We start from the raw sequence: 19567 nt of genomic DNA, 5'->3' as shown, positions 1-19567 counted from the left end.
ATTGCAAAGTAGTGCTGCCTGCACCTATCATTAATGCTGTGTGGATTTTTTTCTAATTGAAAACAGCACAACGAGAGCTCTGAGTATGAGATGTAGTTATACAAAAAGGCATAAGATGCTAGACACCTTCAAATACTGGGTGTTCTCCTTACTAGCCATATGACCTTAAGCAATGTATTTAACCTATTCTTTGTTCTCATTTTCCTCATTCATAAAATATGCACAATAAAACTTACCTTATAGTTTTGTTTCAAATATAAAATGAATAAATATTGTTAAATTATTTCGAGCATTCTTTGGTACACAGTAAACCCTCCGTAAGTATTAACTTTTATGGATAAAAACTTTTAAAAAATGGAAATAGATTTATTATTTTTATCTGATTATGAAAATTATATGTGATTATTATTTAAAAGATTTTAAAGAAAGATGCAAAGAGAAAAAATTACTTAAAATCAATTTGTCCTCAGATAACTATAGTGAACATTTAGGTATCATAGTTCCAGGAAGACTTTTGTGTTCAAAAGATGCATAATGTATACAATTGTGTCATGGGCACATCTCCTCGGGCCAATCTATGGCTGACCCCTACTCCATCCTACCCCTAAAGTAAACATGCATTTTGACCTGTATCACTGTCATCTGTCAAAATCCATGCTCCTCAAAGGCAGTATCTTCTGTAAACCCTCAATCTTTTTATTACTATCTAGATTCTCAGGCTTAATTGTTCCAAATTATGCCAGCCATCACCTCCATGCAAATCTCACTTACCTACCTCTTTATCCATCAAAAATAATCTATTAAAATCAGTTATACTTACTTATTTAGCACTTAAATATTTTAGACTTTGTGCTAAGTGCCTCACATATAGCATTTTTACTCTTCCAGATAGCTTTCAAGGGAGCTTTCATAACAACCATTTTAGCATTGTTTCGATCTCATTCTCAATCTCCATCTCTTTCAAACTATAAACTAAATTTCTCCCTTGGCAAGGTTGGCCTACACCCAGGAACAAGCAAGGAAAGCCACCCTCTGAGGCTAGAAGCAAGATGGAGTCAGCCATGCTAGCCTTCTCTCATTGTTATAATCTTTGCAAAGCTGGTTTCATATTTTACTAATCTTTCTCTGTTAAATGGACAAACATCCTTCTTGATGCTACTTCCCACACCTTTTCCAACCTCTCTGTACTTGACACAATTAGACAAAGCATTTGCTCAATAAATATTTATAAAGTTAAGAAAGAATCACTTTATACCTAAGAGTGGATCCTAATGTTTACATAAATATATTCCTGTATTGAGGTTCTTCCTTTCTCCCCAATTACCAAATTCTTTCTTTCTTTTTCTTTCTCTTTTTCTTTCTTTCTTTCCTTCTTTCTTTCTTTCTTTCTTTCTTTCTTTCTTTCTTTCTTTCTTTCTTTCTTTCTTTCTTCTTTCTTTCTTTCTTTCTTCTTTAAGTTTTGGGATACATATACAGAACATGCAGGTTTCTTACACAGTATATGTGTGTCACGATGATTTGCTGCACCTATCAACCCATCACCTGGGTTTTAAGCCCTGCATGCATTAGCTATTTGTCTTGATGCTCTCCCTCCCCTCGTGCCCCCATGACCCAACAGGCCCTGGTGTGTGTTGTTCCCCTCCCTGTGTCCATGTGTTCCCATTGTTCAACTCCCACTTATGAGTAAGATGGATTTCTGTTTGCTTTTCTGATCCTGTGTTAGTTTGCTGTGAATGATGGCTTCCAGCTTCATCCATGTCCCTGCAAAGGACATGAACTCATTCCTATTTGTGGCTGTATAGTATTCTATGGTGTATATGTACCACATTTTCTTTATCCAGTCTATCATTGATGGGCATTTGGGTTGGTTCTATGTCTTTGCTATTGTAAATAATGCTGCAATAAACATACATATGCACGTGTCTTTATAATAGAATTATTTATATTCCTCTAGGTATTTATCCAGTAATGGGATTGCTGGGTCAAATGGTATTTCTGGTTCTAGATCCTTGAGGAGTTGCCACACTGTCTTCCACAATGGTTGAACTAATTTACATTCCCACCAACAATGAAAAAGTGTTCCTCTTTCTCCACAGCCTCTCTAGCATCTGTTGTTTCATGACTTCTTTTTAATAAGCGCCATTCTGACTGGTGTGAGATGGTATCTCATTGTGGTTTTGATTTGCATTTCTTTAATGATCAGTGATGTTGTGCTTTTTTTTCATATGTTTGTTGCCCACATGAATGTCTTCTTTTGAGAAGTGTCTGTTCATGTTTTTGCCCACTTTTTAATGGGTTTTCTTGTGTTTTTCTTGTAAATATGGTTAAGTTCCTTGTAAATTATGGATGGTAGCCCTTTGTCAGATGGGTAGATTGCAAAAATGTTCTCCCATTCTGTAGATTGCCTGTTCACTCTGATGACAGTTTCTTTTGCTGTGCAGAAGCTCTTTAATTAGATCCCATTTGTCAATTTTAGCTTTTGTTGTGATTGCTTTTGGTGATTCCATCATAAAATCTTTGCCCATGCCTATGTCGTGAATGGGATTGCCTAGGTTTTCTTCCAGGGTTTTTATGGTTTTGGGTTTTACATTTAAGTCTTTAATCCATCTTGAGTTGATTTTTGTATAAGGTGTAAGGAAGGGGTCCACTTTCAGTCTTCTGCATATAGCTAGCCAGTTTTCCCAGCATCATTTATTAAACAGGGAATCCTTTCCCCATTGCTTGTTTTTGTCAAGTTTGTTGAAGATCAGATGGTCTTATATCTGAGGTCTCTATTCTGTTCCATTGGTATATGTGTCTGTTTTGATACCTGTACCATGTTTTGGTTACTGTAGCCTTGCAGTATAGTTTGAAGTCAGGTAGTGTGATGCCTCCAGCTTTATTCTTTTTGCTTAGAATTGTTTTGGCTATACGGGCTCTTTTATGGCTCCATATGAATTTTAGAGTAGTTTTTTTCTAATTCTGTGAAGAAAGTCAATGGTAGTTTGATGAGAATAGCACTTAATCTATAAACTACTTTGGGCTGTATGGCCATTTTCATGATATTGATTCTTCCTATCCATGAGCATGGGATGTTTTTCCATTTGTTTGTGTCCTCTCTTATTTCCTTGAGCAGTGGTTTGTAGTTCTCCTTGAAGAGGTCCTTCATGTCCCTTGTTAGCTGTATTCCTAGGTGTTTTATTCTCTTTGTAACAATTGTGAATGGGAGTTCATTCATGATTTGGCTCTCTGCTTGTCTATTGTTAGTGTAAAGAAATGCTTGTGATTTTCACACACTGATTTTGTATCCTGAGACTTTGCTGAAGTTGCTTATCAGCTTAAGGAGATTTGGGGCTGAGACAATGGGGTTTTCTAAATATAGGATCAAGTTGTCTGCAAACAGAGACAATTTGACTTTCTCTTTTCCTATTTGAATACGCTTTATTTCTTTCTCTTGCCTGATTGCCCTGGCCAGAACATCCAATACTATGTTGAATAGGAGTGGAGAGAGAGGGCATCCTTGTCTTGGGCCAGTTTTCAAAGGGAATGCTTCTCGCTTTTGGCCATTCAGTATGATATTGGCTGTGGGTTTGTCAGAAGTAGCTCTTATTACTTTGGGAAATGTTCCATCAATATCTAGTTTATTGAGAGTTTTATCATGAAAGGATGTTGAATTTTTTCGAAGGTCTTTTCTGCATCTATCGAGATACCAATTACCAAATTCTAAGATTACATGGTGTTCTGCAGTGAATAGATCTATGCAAACCTACCCCCAAAGTTCAAGGAAGCTGAGAGGCTGAAGAGGCTGACATATCCAGCTTCTCAGGAAAAATGAAAAAACAAAAAACATTTAATAGCCAGGTCCCAGGTGGCTGCAAGAGGAGATGGTGGTTCACTGCAGTGTTAGCCCCAGACCTAGGAATTATTTGCTGTAGTGAAGGAACATGTAGGACAGTTGAAATCAACTCCTCAGGGAAAGGCAAGCATGCTATGTAAATCTGCCTAAGGGAAGGATTTATGGTTGAGGCTGTTTTGAACAAAGGGTAGAATTTATGGTAACAGTAGGTAAAGTATAAATCTTAGAGGCATTCCTGGAACTGGGGTAAATCAGATGTCAGTATGGTGGACTGACAATGAAGATGGAGTTGCTTTAGTCTCCACACATGGGAACAGATAGAAAAAGGTGTCTTTATAACCAAAATGTTGGCTTTTACAAAGCTCTGCTGTAATTCTAAATAGATGGAAGAGGATAAATCAAATAACTGAATTAACTTAAAAATTCCCTTTTTAGAGTAACTTCTTCAAATTTAAAAGAATTTTATCAAAGTAGTGTGGGCATATCTACTGGGGGATGGAGAAACATAGAGCAAGAGAGAGAGAACTTTGTGATGGAAATCAAGATTTTCTTAAATCTCTCATAGAATAATTATTAGAGTATTTATGAATTTTCTTCTCTTCTCCAAATTATCTTCACTTGGGGTTATTTTATCTTTATTTGTGTATCTTGGACTGTCTTTTTTCAAAGCAAGCTTTCTTTAGATGCCTGATGAGCTATGATTATAATTTTATTCAAGTTTAAGGAATGAAAAGCTGATTGGGCTCTGACTTGCACTTTGCTTTGGAGTCATGGGGCTATGAATTAACAGTTTTCCTGGGGGGGATCAGAACATGCCAGATGATGGAAGTCTTTTGTCTGGAGCTATTATTTTGATTTAGAAAGGTTTTATTTTAGTGAAGTTATAAAGAATCCTCAAATATTTCTCTAAGCTGGAGAGGCCTGTCTCCTGGGTGTCCTCTTTCCTGCAGGGTTGGATAGTGGCTATTTCTACCCATAGATACTTGTAATTGTCAGTTCCCCATGTCACTCCTGTACCCTTTCCTGTCTTCATTGCATGTGGTGTTTTGGAATTCTTAGCCTTTCTGGAAAGGCAATTTCTCTCTCTCAGTCTGTCATATTTATATCCCTTCTAGATAATCTAACCTGTGGTTGACTCTATTTCATGTGCTATCTCTTCTTTATCTGCTTTGTCATCTATACATCTGTTGACATATTTTGTATTCTCATGACTCTCTTTCAGTTCCTTACTACCATTAGGGTTTTGTACTTTTCTCCCCTTTAGTGACATCTAAGATGGGAAAGATTGTAAATACATATGACCAGATTCATCAGGGAAATATATGCTATTCTAGGTAGTTCACACAAGATATTATGTAATACAGGTAATTAAAAGGTTACATGGTCATTCTGAGAACTTGGAGTTAGGTGATTAGAGAAGTTGCTACTAGAATGCAAGAAACTGGGAAGTGGAAAGATCACAGACAGCTGCCAACAGTGTTCTCTGGTGCCAACAGCTTAAAACTTAGTTCTCAGGAAAATCTCCAGTGTGTTTTGGGTTTTGCCAATTACATTATATCATGTATCCACCATTACTGTATCATACAGAATGGAGAAATAACATGTTTATTGAATACAGACACACACACACACACACACACACACACACACATATGACAATGCCAAAAAAGATAGATAGAACTTCTAATTTCATTGATGTTTCTAGTTTCCTGAAGAAGCTAGAAAGAATGGTATGGATATCATTTTTCTGAATATATACATAAAGGTTGAAATTAATATAACTATTCAGAATTTTAAAACAATGAATAACTGTGATTTGGGATTTATTTTATTTTTAAAAAAATGAGGAAGATTTTCATGTTATGATGCTTTCATACGGTATCTCTCGTATGAGTGACAATACTGCCTTTTAATTTTTTCTCAAAATGTTATAGGGCAACAAGAGATTGGCAGTATGAGCTGTCTTTTTATTGTATTTTAATGGTAAACTTGTACATGATTATGGGGATATTCTAACTTTTATGATTTTTTAAACAACTCTCAGTTCCATCCCATAAAAGAGCTTTATGTAGAAATACTTTTAGCAGCTTTTAAGTTTATTTCATCTTCTCTTCCCCAGGAGACAAGGTAAAAGTAGAGATTACATTTTCTGGAGATATTACTTTCATTTATATCTTTATAAATATGGATAGACAATTTTATAATAACAGTGCTAACACTGAAAAGGAAAAGAGTAAGATTTTGTAATTTATAAATAATCCTTATGGGGATGTTATTATTTAACTCTGAAGATGTTGTTTCACTTTTCATTATTTTGGTTTCAGTCACTGCTTGCAGAATAGTAATCTCTTAGCATATGAAGTCAGCAGATCAAATGCAAGAAACAAAACAAAACAAAAAACTCAGAACAAAATCAAGAAGGCTCAAAGTTTAGCACACTATTTATTTCACTGTTTTTAATCATACTCAGGAAGGGTTTTAGTGAAGAAACAGGAGTGAGATTAATCAAAATAGCTCAAAATGCTCAAAACTTAAGTTATATATTCAGGAGGCTTTAAATTCCCACCATTTTAAAAAGTGTTCTTTAAACCTCAATTTCGGGTACCTTGCTGTTCCTTGGGTTTGACTGAGGATCAGTATTTTCTTGCCATTTATCACACTTAAACATAGAGCATCCAGAATCAATAAACTACAAAGCAGAAGATTTAGAGAATCTATCTTTCCAGAATAATAGTCATACTTTCCCAAACATGTTCTATACAATTTTAGGGGACTATAGACCTTTGGTATATATATCAGATGTTAAGCTTTTTGTTCCATTAACATTACTGTAGTCAGTTGTAATGCTATGTTGTTAATCTAGAGACAGGAATATATAACTTCTATTTTCTTCAAATGAAAAATGGCTTTGGTCATAAGTACCTATACCCAAATCTTATTTCAATATACTCTACATTAACAGCATGTTACAGATAGGAATCCAGTATTATATTTACATAAATTAGTTATTTATCTCGATATTTACAGAGTGCTAGGCATTGTGCAAGTCAAATAATACATATTCACTGTCCTCAAAAACTCAACACTAGCTAATGGGAGACCAGCATCAAAATAAAAAAATAAGAGCAATACAGTTTTCTATGTGCAAGACAGACACAGTTCTACAGGGCTGGGGACAGAAGGCACTGAAGAGGAATGGAGAAACTGAATGAGGAAAAACTTTGGAGAGGAGGTGTGGCTGGAGCTGAGTATTGAAATAGGAGAAATATTTGTTCAGATATTACTCTTTTTATTTTTTCATGACTGAATTCCAGGCATATGTACCTTCAAATACCTTATTGCAGATGACCTAGAAGGCTGCATGTAAAGATAAATACATCCTAACATTTGTATATTGTTGCTTCTCAAATTTCACAACTGTGATTACTTGCTGTGTTGGTTACTGATCTTTATTTTCATTTACTTAGCATCTTCATTGATAATCCTGATTGATGTAGTTTTACTTTCATCATCTAAATATCTCTAGTTTCTAATTTATTCTGTGTAGAGACTTTAGTTTCATCAAATATAAGTGGGCATGAAATTATATACCTGAGCCAATAGAAGAACTCAAGACTTTTATTTGCCTTAATGTAGGATTTAAAAACCAATTCAAAAACAATTGTTTATATATGTGGGAAAATTCCTTTAAGTTTCTGTTGATAGGTGTTGGAATAGGTTTCCTAGTAAGATATTAAATGTGTCATCCAAATAAATTTTTAGGTTACATAAACACTGATCTTGAATAAAATAGCTATAGTTCTACCTGGAGGTAGAGAGTCATAATAATATCAAATTAGAGCTCATGTTTGTGTGTGTATGTGTTTGCATACTTGTGCACGTGCTGGCTTTTATGTACAAAATGGTGATCATCAAAGGTAGTTGTCATCAAAAAGTCATAGATTATAAAAGCTAAAAAGGACACTGTATTTTAAAGATACGGAAACCTAGGCCCAGAAAAATTAGACAGGTTGCTTAAGACTGAGAGCAGAGCCCAGAACTTGGGCCTCTTGACTTCCCTTTGCAAATATATCATTGTGCTTTGAAATTATAGATATACGGAATCATAGAACAGGAAGAAACTGTATGATCATCCAGAGCTCATTGACAGCCCCTCCCTCCCCTCCACATATATGCTAATAAACCCTCTGCTGTCTCTCTTCCACTTAAATTTGCGGGGAAATCTAGTTAGCATAAAAACACTGATCCCTGTGGCTGGCTATGCTTTTTTTTTGACAGATTGTCCTGCTACTGCTGCTTCCCGTCTTCCTTCATCATTCACATTATGACAGACATTTGAGCAGAGTCTCAGTGAAAACTTGTTTGGGGGTTGGTGCCTCTGATTCTCAGTGCAGCCTGCCAGCCTCATTGGGAAAAGGTGTTTAATATAGGCAGCGATTTTCTGTATTATGAACTGAAATAGAAAATGCTGCGATGGGTTCATTCAAGGGAGACCCAATATCTTACTTACAATGAAGAAATCAGGCAATTTTGGGGAGTAGAAGTGGAAGTGTGACTCATACATATATTGGTATTTTCTTTTATGAGATTTTGATATGGCACTTAATGTTTTATGCTGAGAGGAGATGAAGATTTCTCATTTTCCTACAATTTCACTGAGAAAATCATACAGCAAGGACACAGAACTTCATGCAACTGCCTTCTTTTATTAGTACCTATATCTTGTCTTTCTTTCCTTTCTTCCCTTCCTTGCTTCTCCTTTCCCTTTTGGTTTCTTTGTTAAGCCTTTTCTTCCTTCCCTTTATCCCTCCTTATAATTGATTTTGCTTCTTTGTGTTACTACTTTCTTTCCATGGTTCCTCCAACCTGTAGTATGAAAGAGAGTGGATATGGTAGTGGTTAAGAGCATAGGCTCTAAAGTCAGACTGCCTGGCTTTGAATCCTCTCTACCACTTACTGACTGAGTGACCTTGGATTGAGTCACTGAACTTCACTTTTCAATTTTTTATGTCTTATTGGATAAGTTTCAATCAGAGTTGAGGATGAAGTGAGATATATGAAAGTGCTTAGTACAAAGCACATGTGTTGCTATCTTATAGTATGCAGTCACGACTTTCATATATATATTACATTTATGGTTATTCCAATATATACATTTTGTGTAGAAGGCTTAGTCTTTCAATTACAATAAGCTATTGGTATAGTTTAGCCATCTAATGCTAATGGAAAGGAGAATGGGCTCAATTGTTCTAAACAAATTTTATAACTTACTTATCTTGGGCTTTGAAGAAAGGTATGAGGAAATTAACCACAGAGATGTGTGCACACCTAAGAGACATTGACCCCACTTACTTTCTTTCCTTGCTCCTTGGCTAAGACTCCTATGTAAGTGCCATTGTTGCTAGAAGTTTGAAGCTTTTGTAAGGTTTTAGTTTTTGTGATTTTATATCTTTTTTCAGATATTTAATTAAATTTAATATATATTTGCAATCTATAACACCATATAAATAATCATGATAAATCAAAAGATATATTGTCTGGTCCCTGGTCTCTCGGAGCTGCCAAGGCTCCTAGCTGCTGGGAAAGCTGATGTATATGCAACTTGGAACATAAGGCAGTGTTTATTGATGCCATTGATCTTTGTAATGGGCTACATGATTGAACCTTTTTTTTATTTCTTCTCCTTAGTCTTTGATAATGACTTCACATCTGTAGTTATCTCTTTATATTCGTTGAGTTGCTTTTTGCTGCCTGCAGTATTCTAGACATTTTATAATTAGAGATAAAGCTTGGAATTTCCTATGCAACATGTTTTGTATTCAGCCTGCTTTCTTCTTCCCACAGTTTTGGTCTGGTTTTGTTTATTAGTTTGTTTTCTGCAGGTAGAAATACCTAGGAAAGACAACATCATTTGATAAAGTATAAAATATGCTTATTTAGGAGAGAATACTTTAAAAGGCTTATGAACTCTTGATGACTATCCTTTAGTTTATAATTAACTTATTTTTTTTTATTATACTTTAATTTCTGGGATACATGTGTAGAATGTGCAGGTTTGCTACATAGGTATAAACATACCTTGGTGGTTTGCCACACCAATCAACCCATCATCTACATTAGGTATTTCTCCTAATGCTATCCCTCCCCTAGTCTCCACCCACCGACAGGCCCTGGTGTGTGATGTTCCCCTCCCTGTGTCCATGTGTTCTCATTGTTCAAATCCCACTTATGAGTGAGAACATGCGGTGTTTGGTTTTCTGTTCCTGTGTTAGCTTGCTGAGAATGATGGTTTCCAGCTTCATCCATGTCCCTGCAAAGGACATGAACTCATCCTTTTTATGGCTGCATAGTATTCCATGGTATGTATGCCACATTTTCTTAATCCAGTCTATCGTTGATGGGCGTTTGGGTTGGTTCCAAGTCTTTGCACTGTAAACAGTTCTGCAATAAACATACATGTGCATGTGTCTTTACAGTAGAATGATTTATATTTCTTTGGGTATATATCCGGTAATGGGATTGCTGGGTCAAATGGTGTATCTGGTTCTAGATCCTTGAGGAATTGCCACACTATCTTCCACAATGGTTGAACTAATTTACACTCCCACCAACAGTGTAAAAGCATTCCTTTTTCTCCACGTCCTCTCCAGCATCTGTTGTTTCCAGACATTTTAATTATCACCATTCTAACTGGCATGAGATGGTATCTCATTGTGGTTTTGATTTGCATTTGTCTAATGACCAGTGGTAATGAGCTTTGTTTATATGTTTGTTGGCCGCATAAAAGTCTTCTTTTGAGAAGTGTCTGTTCATATCCTTCGCCCACTTTTTGATGGGTTTCTTTGTTTTTTTCTTATAAATTTGTGTAAGTTCCTTGTAGATTCTAGATGTTAGACCTTTGTCAGATGGATAGATGGCAAAAATGTTCCCTATTCTGTAGTTTGCCTGTTCACTCTGATGATAGTTTCTTCAGCTGTGAAGAAGCTCTTTGATTAGATTCCATTTGTCAATTTTGGCTTCTGTGGCCATTGCTTTTGGTGTTTTAGTCATGAAGTCTTTGGCCAGGCCTATGTCCATAATAGTATTGCCTAGGTTTTCTTCTAGGGTTTTTATGGTTTTAGGTCTTATGTTTAAGTCTTTAATCCATCTTGAGTTAATTTTTGTATAAGTTGTAAGGAAGGGGTCCAGTTTCAGTTTCCTGCATATGGTTAGCCAGTTTCCCCAACACCATTTATTAAATAGGGAATCCTTTCCCCATTGCTTGTTTTTGTCAGGTTTGTCAAAGATCAGATGTTTTTAGATGTGTGGCATTATTTCTGAGGTCTACATTCTGTTCCATTTGTCTATATATCTGTTTTGGTACCAGTACCATGCTGTTTTGGTTACTGTAGCCTTGCAGTATAGTTTGAAGTCAGGTAGCATGATGCCTCCAGCTTTGTTCTTTTTGCTTAGGATTGTCTTGGCAATGTGGGCTCTTTTTTGGTTCTGTATGAAATTTAAAGTAGCTTTTTTCTAATTCTGTGAAGAAAGTCAGTGGTAGCTTGATGGGGATAGCATTGAATCTATAAATTACTTTGGGTAGTATGGGCATTTTCATGATACTGATTCTTTTTATCAGTGAGCATGGAATGTTTTTCCATTTGTTTTTGTCCTCTCTTATTTCCTTGAGCAGTGGTTTGTAGTTCTCCTTGAAGAGGTCCTTCACATCCTTTGTAAGTTGTATTCCTAGGTATTTTATTCTCTTTGTAGCAATTGTAAATGGGAGTTTGCTCATGATTTGGCTCTCTGTTTGTCTATTACTGATGTATAGGAATGTTTGTGATTTTCACACATTGATTTTGTATCCTGAGACTTTGCTGAAGTTGCTTATCAGCTTAAGGAGATTTGGGCCTGAGACAATGGGGTTTTCTAAATATATGATCATGTCATCTGCAAACAGAGACAATTTGACTTCCTCTCTTTCTATCTGAATATCCTTTATTTCGTTCTCTTGCCTGATTGCCCTGGCCAGAACTTCCAATACTGTGTTGAATAGGAGTGGTGAGAGAGGACATCCTTGTCTTGTGCCTGTTTTCAAAGAGAATGCGTCCAGCTTTTGCCCATTTGGTATGATATTGGCTGTGGGTTTGTCATAAATAGCTCTTACTATTTTGAGATATGTTTCATCAATACCTAGTGTATTGAGAGTTTTTAGCATGAAGGGGTGTTGAATTTTATCAAAGGCCTTTTCTGCATCTATTGAGATAATCATGAGGTTTTTGTCATTGGTTCTGTTTATGTGATGGGTTATGTTTAATGATTTGCATATGTTGAACCAGCCTTGTATCCCAGGGATGAAGCTGACCTGATCATGGTGCGTAAGCTTTTTGATGTGCTGCTGGATTCTGTTTGCCAGTATTTTATTGAAGATTTTTGCATAGATATTCATCAGGGATATCGGCCTGAAATTTTTTCGTTGTTGTGTCTCTGCCAGGCTTTGGCTTCAGGATGATACTGGCTTCATAAAATGAGTTAGGGAGGACTCCCTCTTTTTCTATTGATTGGAGTAGTTTCAGAAGGAATGGTACCAGCTCCTCTTTGTACCTCTGGTAGAATTCAGTTGTGAATCTGTCTGGTCCTGGGCCTTTTATGATTGGTAAGCTATTAATTACTGCCTCAATTCAGAACTTTGTATTGGTCTATTTAGGGATTCAATTTCTTCCTGATTTAGTCTTGAAAGGGTGTATGTGTCCAGGAATTTATCCATTTCTTCTAGATTTTCTAGTTTATTTGCATAGAGCTGTTCATAGTATACTCTGATAGTAATTTGTATTTCTGCGGGATCAGTGGTGATATCCCCTTTATCATTTTTTATTGTGTCTATTTGATTCTTCTCTCTTTTCTTCTTTATTAGTCTGGCTAGTGGTCTATCTATTTTGTTAATCTTTTTTAAAAAAAAACAGCTCCTGGATTCATTGATTTTTTGAAGGGTTTTTCATGTCTGTATCTCCTTCAATTCTGCTCTGGTCTTAGTTGTTTCTTGTCTTCTGTTAGCTTTTGAATTTGTTTGCTCTTGCTTCTTTAGTTCTTTTAATTGTGACGTTAGGGTGTCGATTTTAGATCATTCCTGCTTTCTCCTGTGGGCATTTGGTCCTATAAATTTCCCTGTAAACAGTACTTTAGCTGTGTCCTAGAGATTCTGGTACATTGTATCTTTGTTCTCACTGGTTTCAAAGAACTTATTTATTTCTACCTTAATTTCATTATTTACCCAGTAGTCATTCAGGAGCAGGTTATTCAGTTTCCATGTAGTTGTGTGGTTTTGAGTGAGTTTCTTAATCCTGAGTTCTAATTTGCACTGTGGTCTGAGAGACTGTTTGTTATGATTTCTGTTCTTTTGCATTTGCTGAGGAGTGTTTTACTTCCAATTATGTGGTCAATTTTAGAATCAGTGTGACAAGGTGCTAAGAAGAATGTATATTCTGTTGATTTTGGGTGGAGAGTCCTGTAGATGCCTATTAAGTCTGCTTGGTCCAGAGCTGAGATCAAGTCCTGAATATCCTTGTTAATTTTCTGTCTCAATGATGTGTCTAATATTGACAGTGGGGTGTTAAAGTCTCCCAATATTATTGTGTGGGAGTCTAAAAGTCTCTTTGTAGTTCTCTACAAACTTGCTTTATGAATCTGAGTACTCCTGTATTGGGTACAAATATATTTAGGATAGTTAGCTCTTCTTGTTGCATTGATCCCTTTACCATTATGTAATGCCCTTCTTTGTCTTTTTTTGATCTTTGTTGGTTTAAAGTCTGTTTTATCAGAAATTAGGATGGCAACCTCTGCTTTTTTATTTGCTTTCCATTTGCTTGGTAAATATTCCTCCACCCCTTTGTTTTGAGCCTATGTGTGTTGTTGCACGTGAGATTGGTCTCCTGAATACAGCACAACAATGGATCTTGCCTCTTTATCCAATTTGCCAGTCTGTGTCTTTTAATTGGGGCATTTATCCCATTTACATTTAAAGTTAATATTGTTATGTGTGAATTTGATCCTGTCATTATGATGCTAGCTGGTTATTTTGCCCATTAGTTGATGCAGTTTCTTCATAGTGTTGATGGTCTTTACAGTTTGGTATGTTTTTGCAGTGGCTGTTACCGGTTGTTCCTTTCCAAATTTAGTGCTTTCTTCAGGAGCTCTTGTAAGGCAGGCCTGGTGGTGACAAAATCTCTCAGGATTGGGTTGTCTGTAAAGGATTTTATTTCTCCTTCACGTTTGAAGCTTAGTTTGGCTGGATATGAAATTCTGGGTTGAAAATTCTTTTCCTGGGGGAGGAGCCAAGATGGCCGAATAGGAACAGCTCTGGTCTACAACTCCCAGTGAGAGCGTCACAGAAGACGGGTGATTTCTGCATTTCCATCTGAGGTACTGGGTTCATCTCACTAGGGAGTGCCAGACAGTGGGCGCAGGTCAGTGGGTGCATGCACCATGCGCGAGCCGAAGCAGGGTGAGGCATTGCCTCACTCGGGAAGCACAAGGGGTCAGGGAGTTCCCTTTCCTAGTCAAAGAAAGGGGTGACAGACAGCACCGGGAAAATTGGGTCACTCCCACCTGAATACTGCGCTTTTCTGACGGCCTTAAAAAACGGCACCAGGAGATTATATCCTGCACCTGGCTTGGAGGGTCCTACGCCAACAGAGTCTCGCTGATTGCTAGCACAGCAGTCTGAGATCAAACTGCAAGGTGGCAGCGAGGCTGGGGGAGGGGCGCCCACCATTGCCCAGGCTTGCTTACGTAAACAAAGCAGCCAGGAAGCTCAAACTGGGTGGAGCCCACCACAGCTCAAGGAGGCCTGCCTGCCTCTGTAGGCTCCACCTCTGGGGGCAGGGCACAGACAAACAAAAAGACAGCAGTGACCTCTGCAGACTTAAATGTCCTTGTCTGACAGCTTTGAAGAGAGCAGTGGTTCTCCCAGCATGCAGCTGGAGATCTGAGAACGGGCAGACTGCCTCCTCAGATGGGTCCCTGACCCCTGACCCCTGAGCAGCCTAACTGGGAGGCACCTCCCAGCAGGGGCAGACTGACACCTCACACGGCTGGGTACTCCAACAGACCTGCAGCTGAGGGTCCTGTCTGTTAGAAGGAAAACTAACAAACAGAAAGGACATCCACACCAAAAACCCATCTGTACATCACCATCATCAAAGACCAATAGTAGATAAAACCACAAAAATGGGGAAAAAACAGAGCAGAAAAACTGGAAACTCTAAAAAGCAGAGTGCCTCTCCTCGTCCAAAGGAACGCAGTTCCTCACCAGCAACGGAACAGAGCTGGATGGAGAATGACTTTGATGAGCTGAGAGAAGAAGGCTTCAGACAATCAAATTACGCTGAGGTACTGGAGGACATTCAAACCAAAGGTAAAGAAGTTGAAAACTTTGAAAAAAATTGAGAAGAATGTATAACTAGAATAACCAATACAGAGAAGTGCTTAAAGGAGCTGATGGAGCTGAAAACCAAGGCTCGAGAACTACATGAAGAATGCAGAAGCCTCAGGAGCTGATGCAATCAACTGGAAGAAAAGGTATCAGCGATGGAAGATGAAATGAATGAAATGAAGTGAGAAGGGAAGTTTAGAGAAAAAAGAATAAAAAGAAACGGGCAAACCCTCCAAGAAATATGGGACTATGTGAAAAGACCAAATCTATGTCTGATTGGTGTACCTGAAAGTGACGGGGAGAATGGGACCAAGTTGGAAAACACTCTGCAGGATATTATCCAGGAGAACTTCCCCAATGTAGCAAGGCAGGCCAAAATTCAGATTCAGGAAATACAGAGAATGCCAAAAAGATACTCCTCGAGAAGAGCAACTCCAAGACACATAATTGTCAGATTCACCAAAGTTGAAATGAAGGAAAAAATGTTAAGGGCAGCCAGAGAGAAAGGTCGGGTTACCCTCAAAGGGAAGCCCATCAGACTAACAGCGGATCTCTCAGCAGAAACTCTACAAGCCAGAAGAGAGTGGGGGCCAATATTCAACATTCTTAAAGAAAAGAATTTTCAACCCAGAATTTCATATCCAGCCAAACTAAGCTTCATAAGTGAAGGAGAAATAAAATCCTTTACAGACAAGCAAATGCTGAGAGATTTTGTCACCACCAGGCATGCCCTAAAAGAGCTCCTGAAGGAAGCACTAAACATGGAGAGGAACAAATGGTACCAGCCACTGCAAAATCATGCCAAAATGTAAAGACCATCGAGACTAGGAAGAAACTGCATCGATTAACGAGCAAAATAGCCAGCTAACATCGTAATGACAGGACCAAATTCACACATAACAATATTAACTTTAAATGTAAATGGACTAAATGCTCCAATTAAAAGACACAGACTGGCAAATTGGATACAGAGTCAAGACCCATCAGTGTGCTGTAATCAGGAAAACCATCTCACGTGCAGAGACACACATAGGCTCAAAATAAAAGGATGGAGGAAGATCTACCAAGCAAATGGAAAACAAAAAAAGGCAGGGGTTGCAATCCTAGTCTCTGATAAAACAGACTTTAAACCAACAAAGATCAAAAGAGACAAAGAAGGCCATTACATAATGGTAAAGGGATCAATTCAACAAGAAGAGCTAACTATCCTAAATATATATGCACCCAATACAGGAGCACCCAGATGCATAAAGCAAGTCCTGAGAGACCTACAAAGAGACTTAGACTCCCACACATTAATAATGGGAGACTTTAACACCCCACTGTCAACATTAGACAGAGCAACGAGACACAAAGTCAACAAGGATACCCTGGAATTGAACTCAGCTCTGCACCAAGCAGACCTAATAGACATCTACAGAACTCTCCACCCCAAATCAACAGAATATACATTTTTTTCAGCACCACACCACACCTATTCCAAAATTGACCACATACTTGGAAGTAAAGCTCTCCTCAGCAAATGTAAAACAGAAATTATAACAAACTATCTCTCAGACCACAGTGCAATCAAACTAGAACTCAGGATTAAGAATCTCATTCAAAACCGCTCAACTACATGGAAACTGAACAACCTGCTCCTGAATGACTACTGGGTACATAACGAAATGAAGGCAGAAATTAAGATGTTCTTTGAAACCAATGAGAACAAAGACACAGCATACCAGAATCTCTGGGACGCATTCAAAGCAGTGTGTAGAGGGAAATTTATAGCACTAAATGCCCACAAGAGAAAGCAGGAAAGATCTAAAATGGACACCCTAACATCACAATTAAAAGAACTAGAAAAGCAAGAGCAAACACATTCAAAAGCTAGCAGAAGGCAAGAAATAACTAAAATCAGAGCAGAACTGAAGGAAATAGTGACACAAAAAACCCTTCAAAAAATTAATGAATCCAGGAGCTGGTTTTTTGAAAGGATCAACAAAATTGATAAACCGCTAGCAAGACTAATAAAGAAAAAAAGAGAGAAGAATCAAATAGACGCAATAAAAAATGATAAAGGGGATATCACCACCAATCCGACAGAAATACAAACTACCATCAGAGAATACTACAAACACCTCTACGCAAATAAACTAGAAAATCTAGAAGAAATGGATAAATTCCTGGACACACACACTCTCCCAAGACTAAACCAGGAAGAAGTTGAATCTCTGAATAGACCAATAACAGGCTCTGAAATTGAGGCAATAATTAATAGCTTACCAACCAAAAAGAGTCCAGGACCAGATGGATTCACAGCCGAATTCTACCAGAGGTACAAGGAGGAGCTGGTACCATTCCTTCTGAAACTATTCCAATCAATAGAAAAAGAGGGAATCCTCCCTAACTCATTTGATGAGGCCAGCATCATCCTGATACCAAAGCCAGGCAGAGACACAACCAAAAAAGAGAATTTTAGACCAATATCCTTGATGAACATTGATGCAAAAATCCTCAATAAAATACTGGCAAACCAAATCCAGCAGCACATCAAAAAGCTTATCCACCATGATCAAGTGGGCCTCATCCCTGGGATGCAAGGCTGGTTCAATATACGCAAATCAATAAATGTAATCCAGCATATAAACAGAACCAAAGACAAAAACCACATGATTATCTCAATAGATGCAGAAAAGGCCTTTGACAAAATTCAACAATGCTTCATGCTAAAAACTCTCAATAAATTAGGTATTGATGGGATGTATTTCAAAATAATAAGAGCTATCTATGACAAACCCACAGCCAATATCATACTGAATGGGCAAAAACTGGAAGCATTCCCTTTGAAAACTGGCACAAGACAGGGATGCCTTCTCTCACCCCTCCTATTCAACATAGTGTTGGAAGTTCTGACCAGAGCAATTAGGCAGGAGAAGGAAATAAAGGGTATTCAATTAGGAAAAGAGGAAGTCAAATTGTCCCTGTTTGCAGACGACATGATTGTATATCTAGAAAACCCCATTGTCTCAGCCCAAAATCTCCTTAAGCTGATAAGCAACTTCAGCAAATTCTCAGGATACAAAATCAATGTACAAAAATCACAAGCGTTCTTATACACCAACAACAGACAAACAGAGAGCCAAATCATGAGTGAACTACCATTCACAATTGCTTCAAAGAGAATAAAATACCTAGGAATCCAACTTAACAAGGGATGTGAAGGACCTCTTCAAGGAGAACTACAAACCACTGCTCAAGGAAATAAAAGAGGATACAAACAAATGGAAGAATATTCCATGCTCATGGGTAGGAAGAATCAATATCGTGAAAATGGCCATACTGCCCAAGGTAATTTAAAGATTCAGTGCCATCCCCATCAAGCTACCAATGACTTTCTTCACAGAATTGGAAAAAAAACTACTTTAAAGCTCATATGGAACCATAAAAGAGCCCGCATCACCAAGTCAATCCTAAGCCAAAAGAACAAAGCTGGAGGCATCACACTACTTGACTTCAAACTATACTACAAGGCTACAGTAATGAAAACAGCATGGTACTGGTACCAAAACAGACATATAGATCAATGGAACAGAACAGAGCCCTCAGAAATAATGCTGCATATCTACAACTATCTGATCTTTGTCAAACCTGAGAAAAACAAGCAATGGGGAGAGGATTCCCTATTTAATAAATGGTGCTGGGAAAACTGGCTAGCCATATGTAGAAAGCTGAAACTGGATCCCTTCCTTACACCTTATACAAAAATCAATTCAAGATGGATTAAAGACTTAAATGTTAGACCTAAAACCATAAAAACCCTAGGAGAAAACCTAGGCTTTACCATTCAGGACATAGGCATGGGCAAGGACTTCATGTCTAAAACACCAAAAGCCATGGCAACCAAAGCCAAAATTGACAAATAGGATCTAATTAAACTAAAGAGCTTCTGCACAGCAAAAGAAACTACCATCAGAGTGAACAGGCAACCTACAAAATGGGAGAAAATTTTCACAACCTACTCATCTGACAAAGGGCTAATATCCAGAATCTACAATGAACTCAAACAAATTTACAAGAAAAAAACAAACAACCCCATCAAAAAGTGGGTGGACATGAACAGACACTTCTCAAAAGATGACATTTATGCAGCCAAAAAACACATGAAAAAATGCTCACCATCACTGGCCATCAGAGAAATGCAAATCAAAACCACAATGAGATACCATCTCACACCAGTTAGAATGGTGATCATTAAAAAGTCAGGAAACAACAGGTGCTGGAGAGGATGTGGATAAATAGGAACACTTTCACACTGTTGGTGGGACTGTAAACTAGTT

The 19567-nt window shown here is 37.6% G+C and overlaps 1 protein-coding gene across 15 annotated transcripts in view, besides 1 other annotated feature; it reads left to right on the top strand.

Moving 5' to 3' along the window:
- PDE4D (phosphodiesterase 4D) overlaps positions 1-19567 on the top strand; it is a 1553091-nt gene that overhangs the window by 457602 nt on the left and 1075922 nt on the right. The window lies entirely within an intron of this gene.
- Positions 14572-15072: an enhancer, noted in NCBI's record as "H3K4me1 hESC enhancer chr5:59345282-59345782 (GRCh37/hg19 assembly coordinates)". NCBI's record gives its function as "activates a minimal SCP1, AML or CMV promoter by ChIP-STARR-seq in primed H9 embryonic stem cells {active_cell/tissue: H9 hESC(primed)}" and the evidence as "EXISTENCE:reporter gene assay evidence [ECO:0000049][PMID:30033119]".

Source organism: Homo sapiens, chromosome 5, assembly GCF_000001405.40.
Source record: "Homo sapiens chromosome 5, GRCh38.p14 Primary Assembly".
Classification (NCBI taxonomy): domain Eukaryota; kingdom Metazoa; phylum Chordata; class Mammalia; order Primates; family Hominidae; genus Homo; species Homo sapiens.
This window is presented reverse-complemented; position numbering and strand designations above follow the sequence as displayed.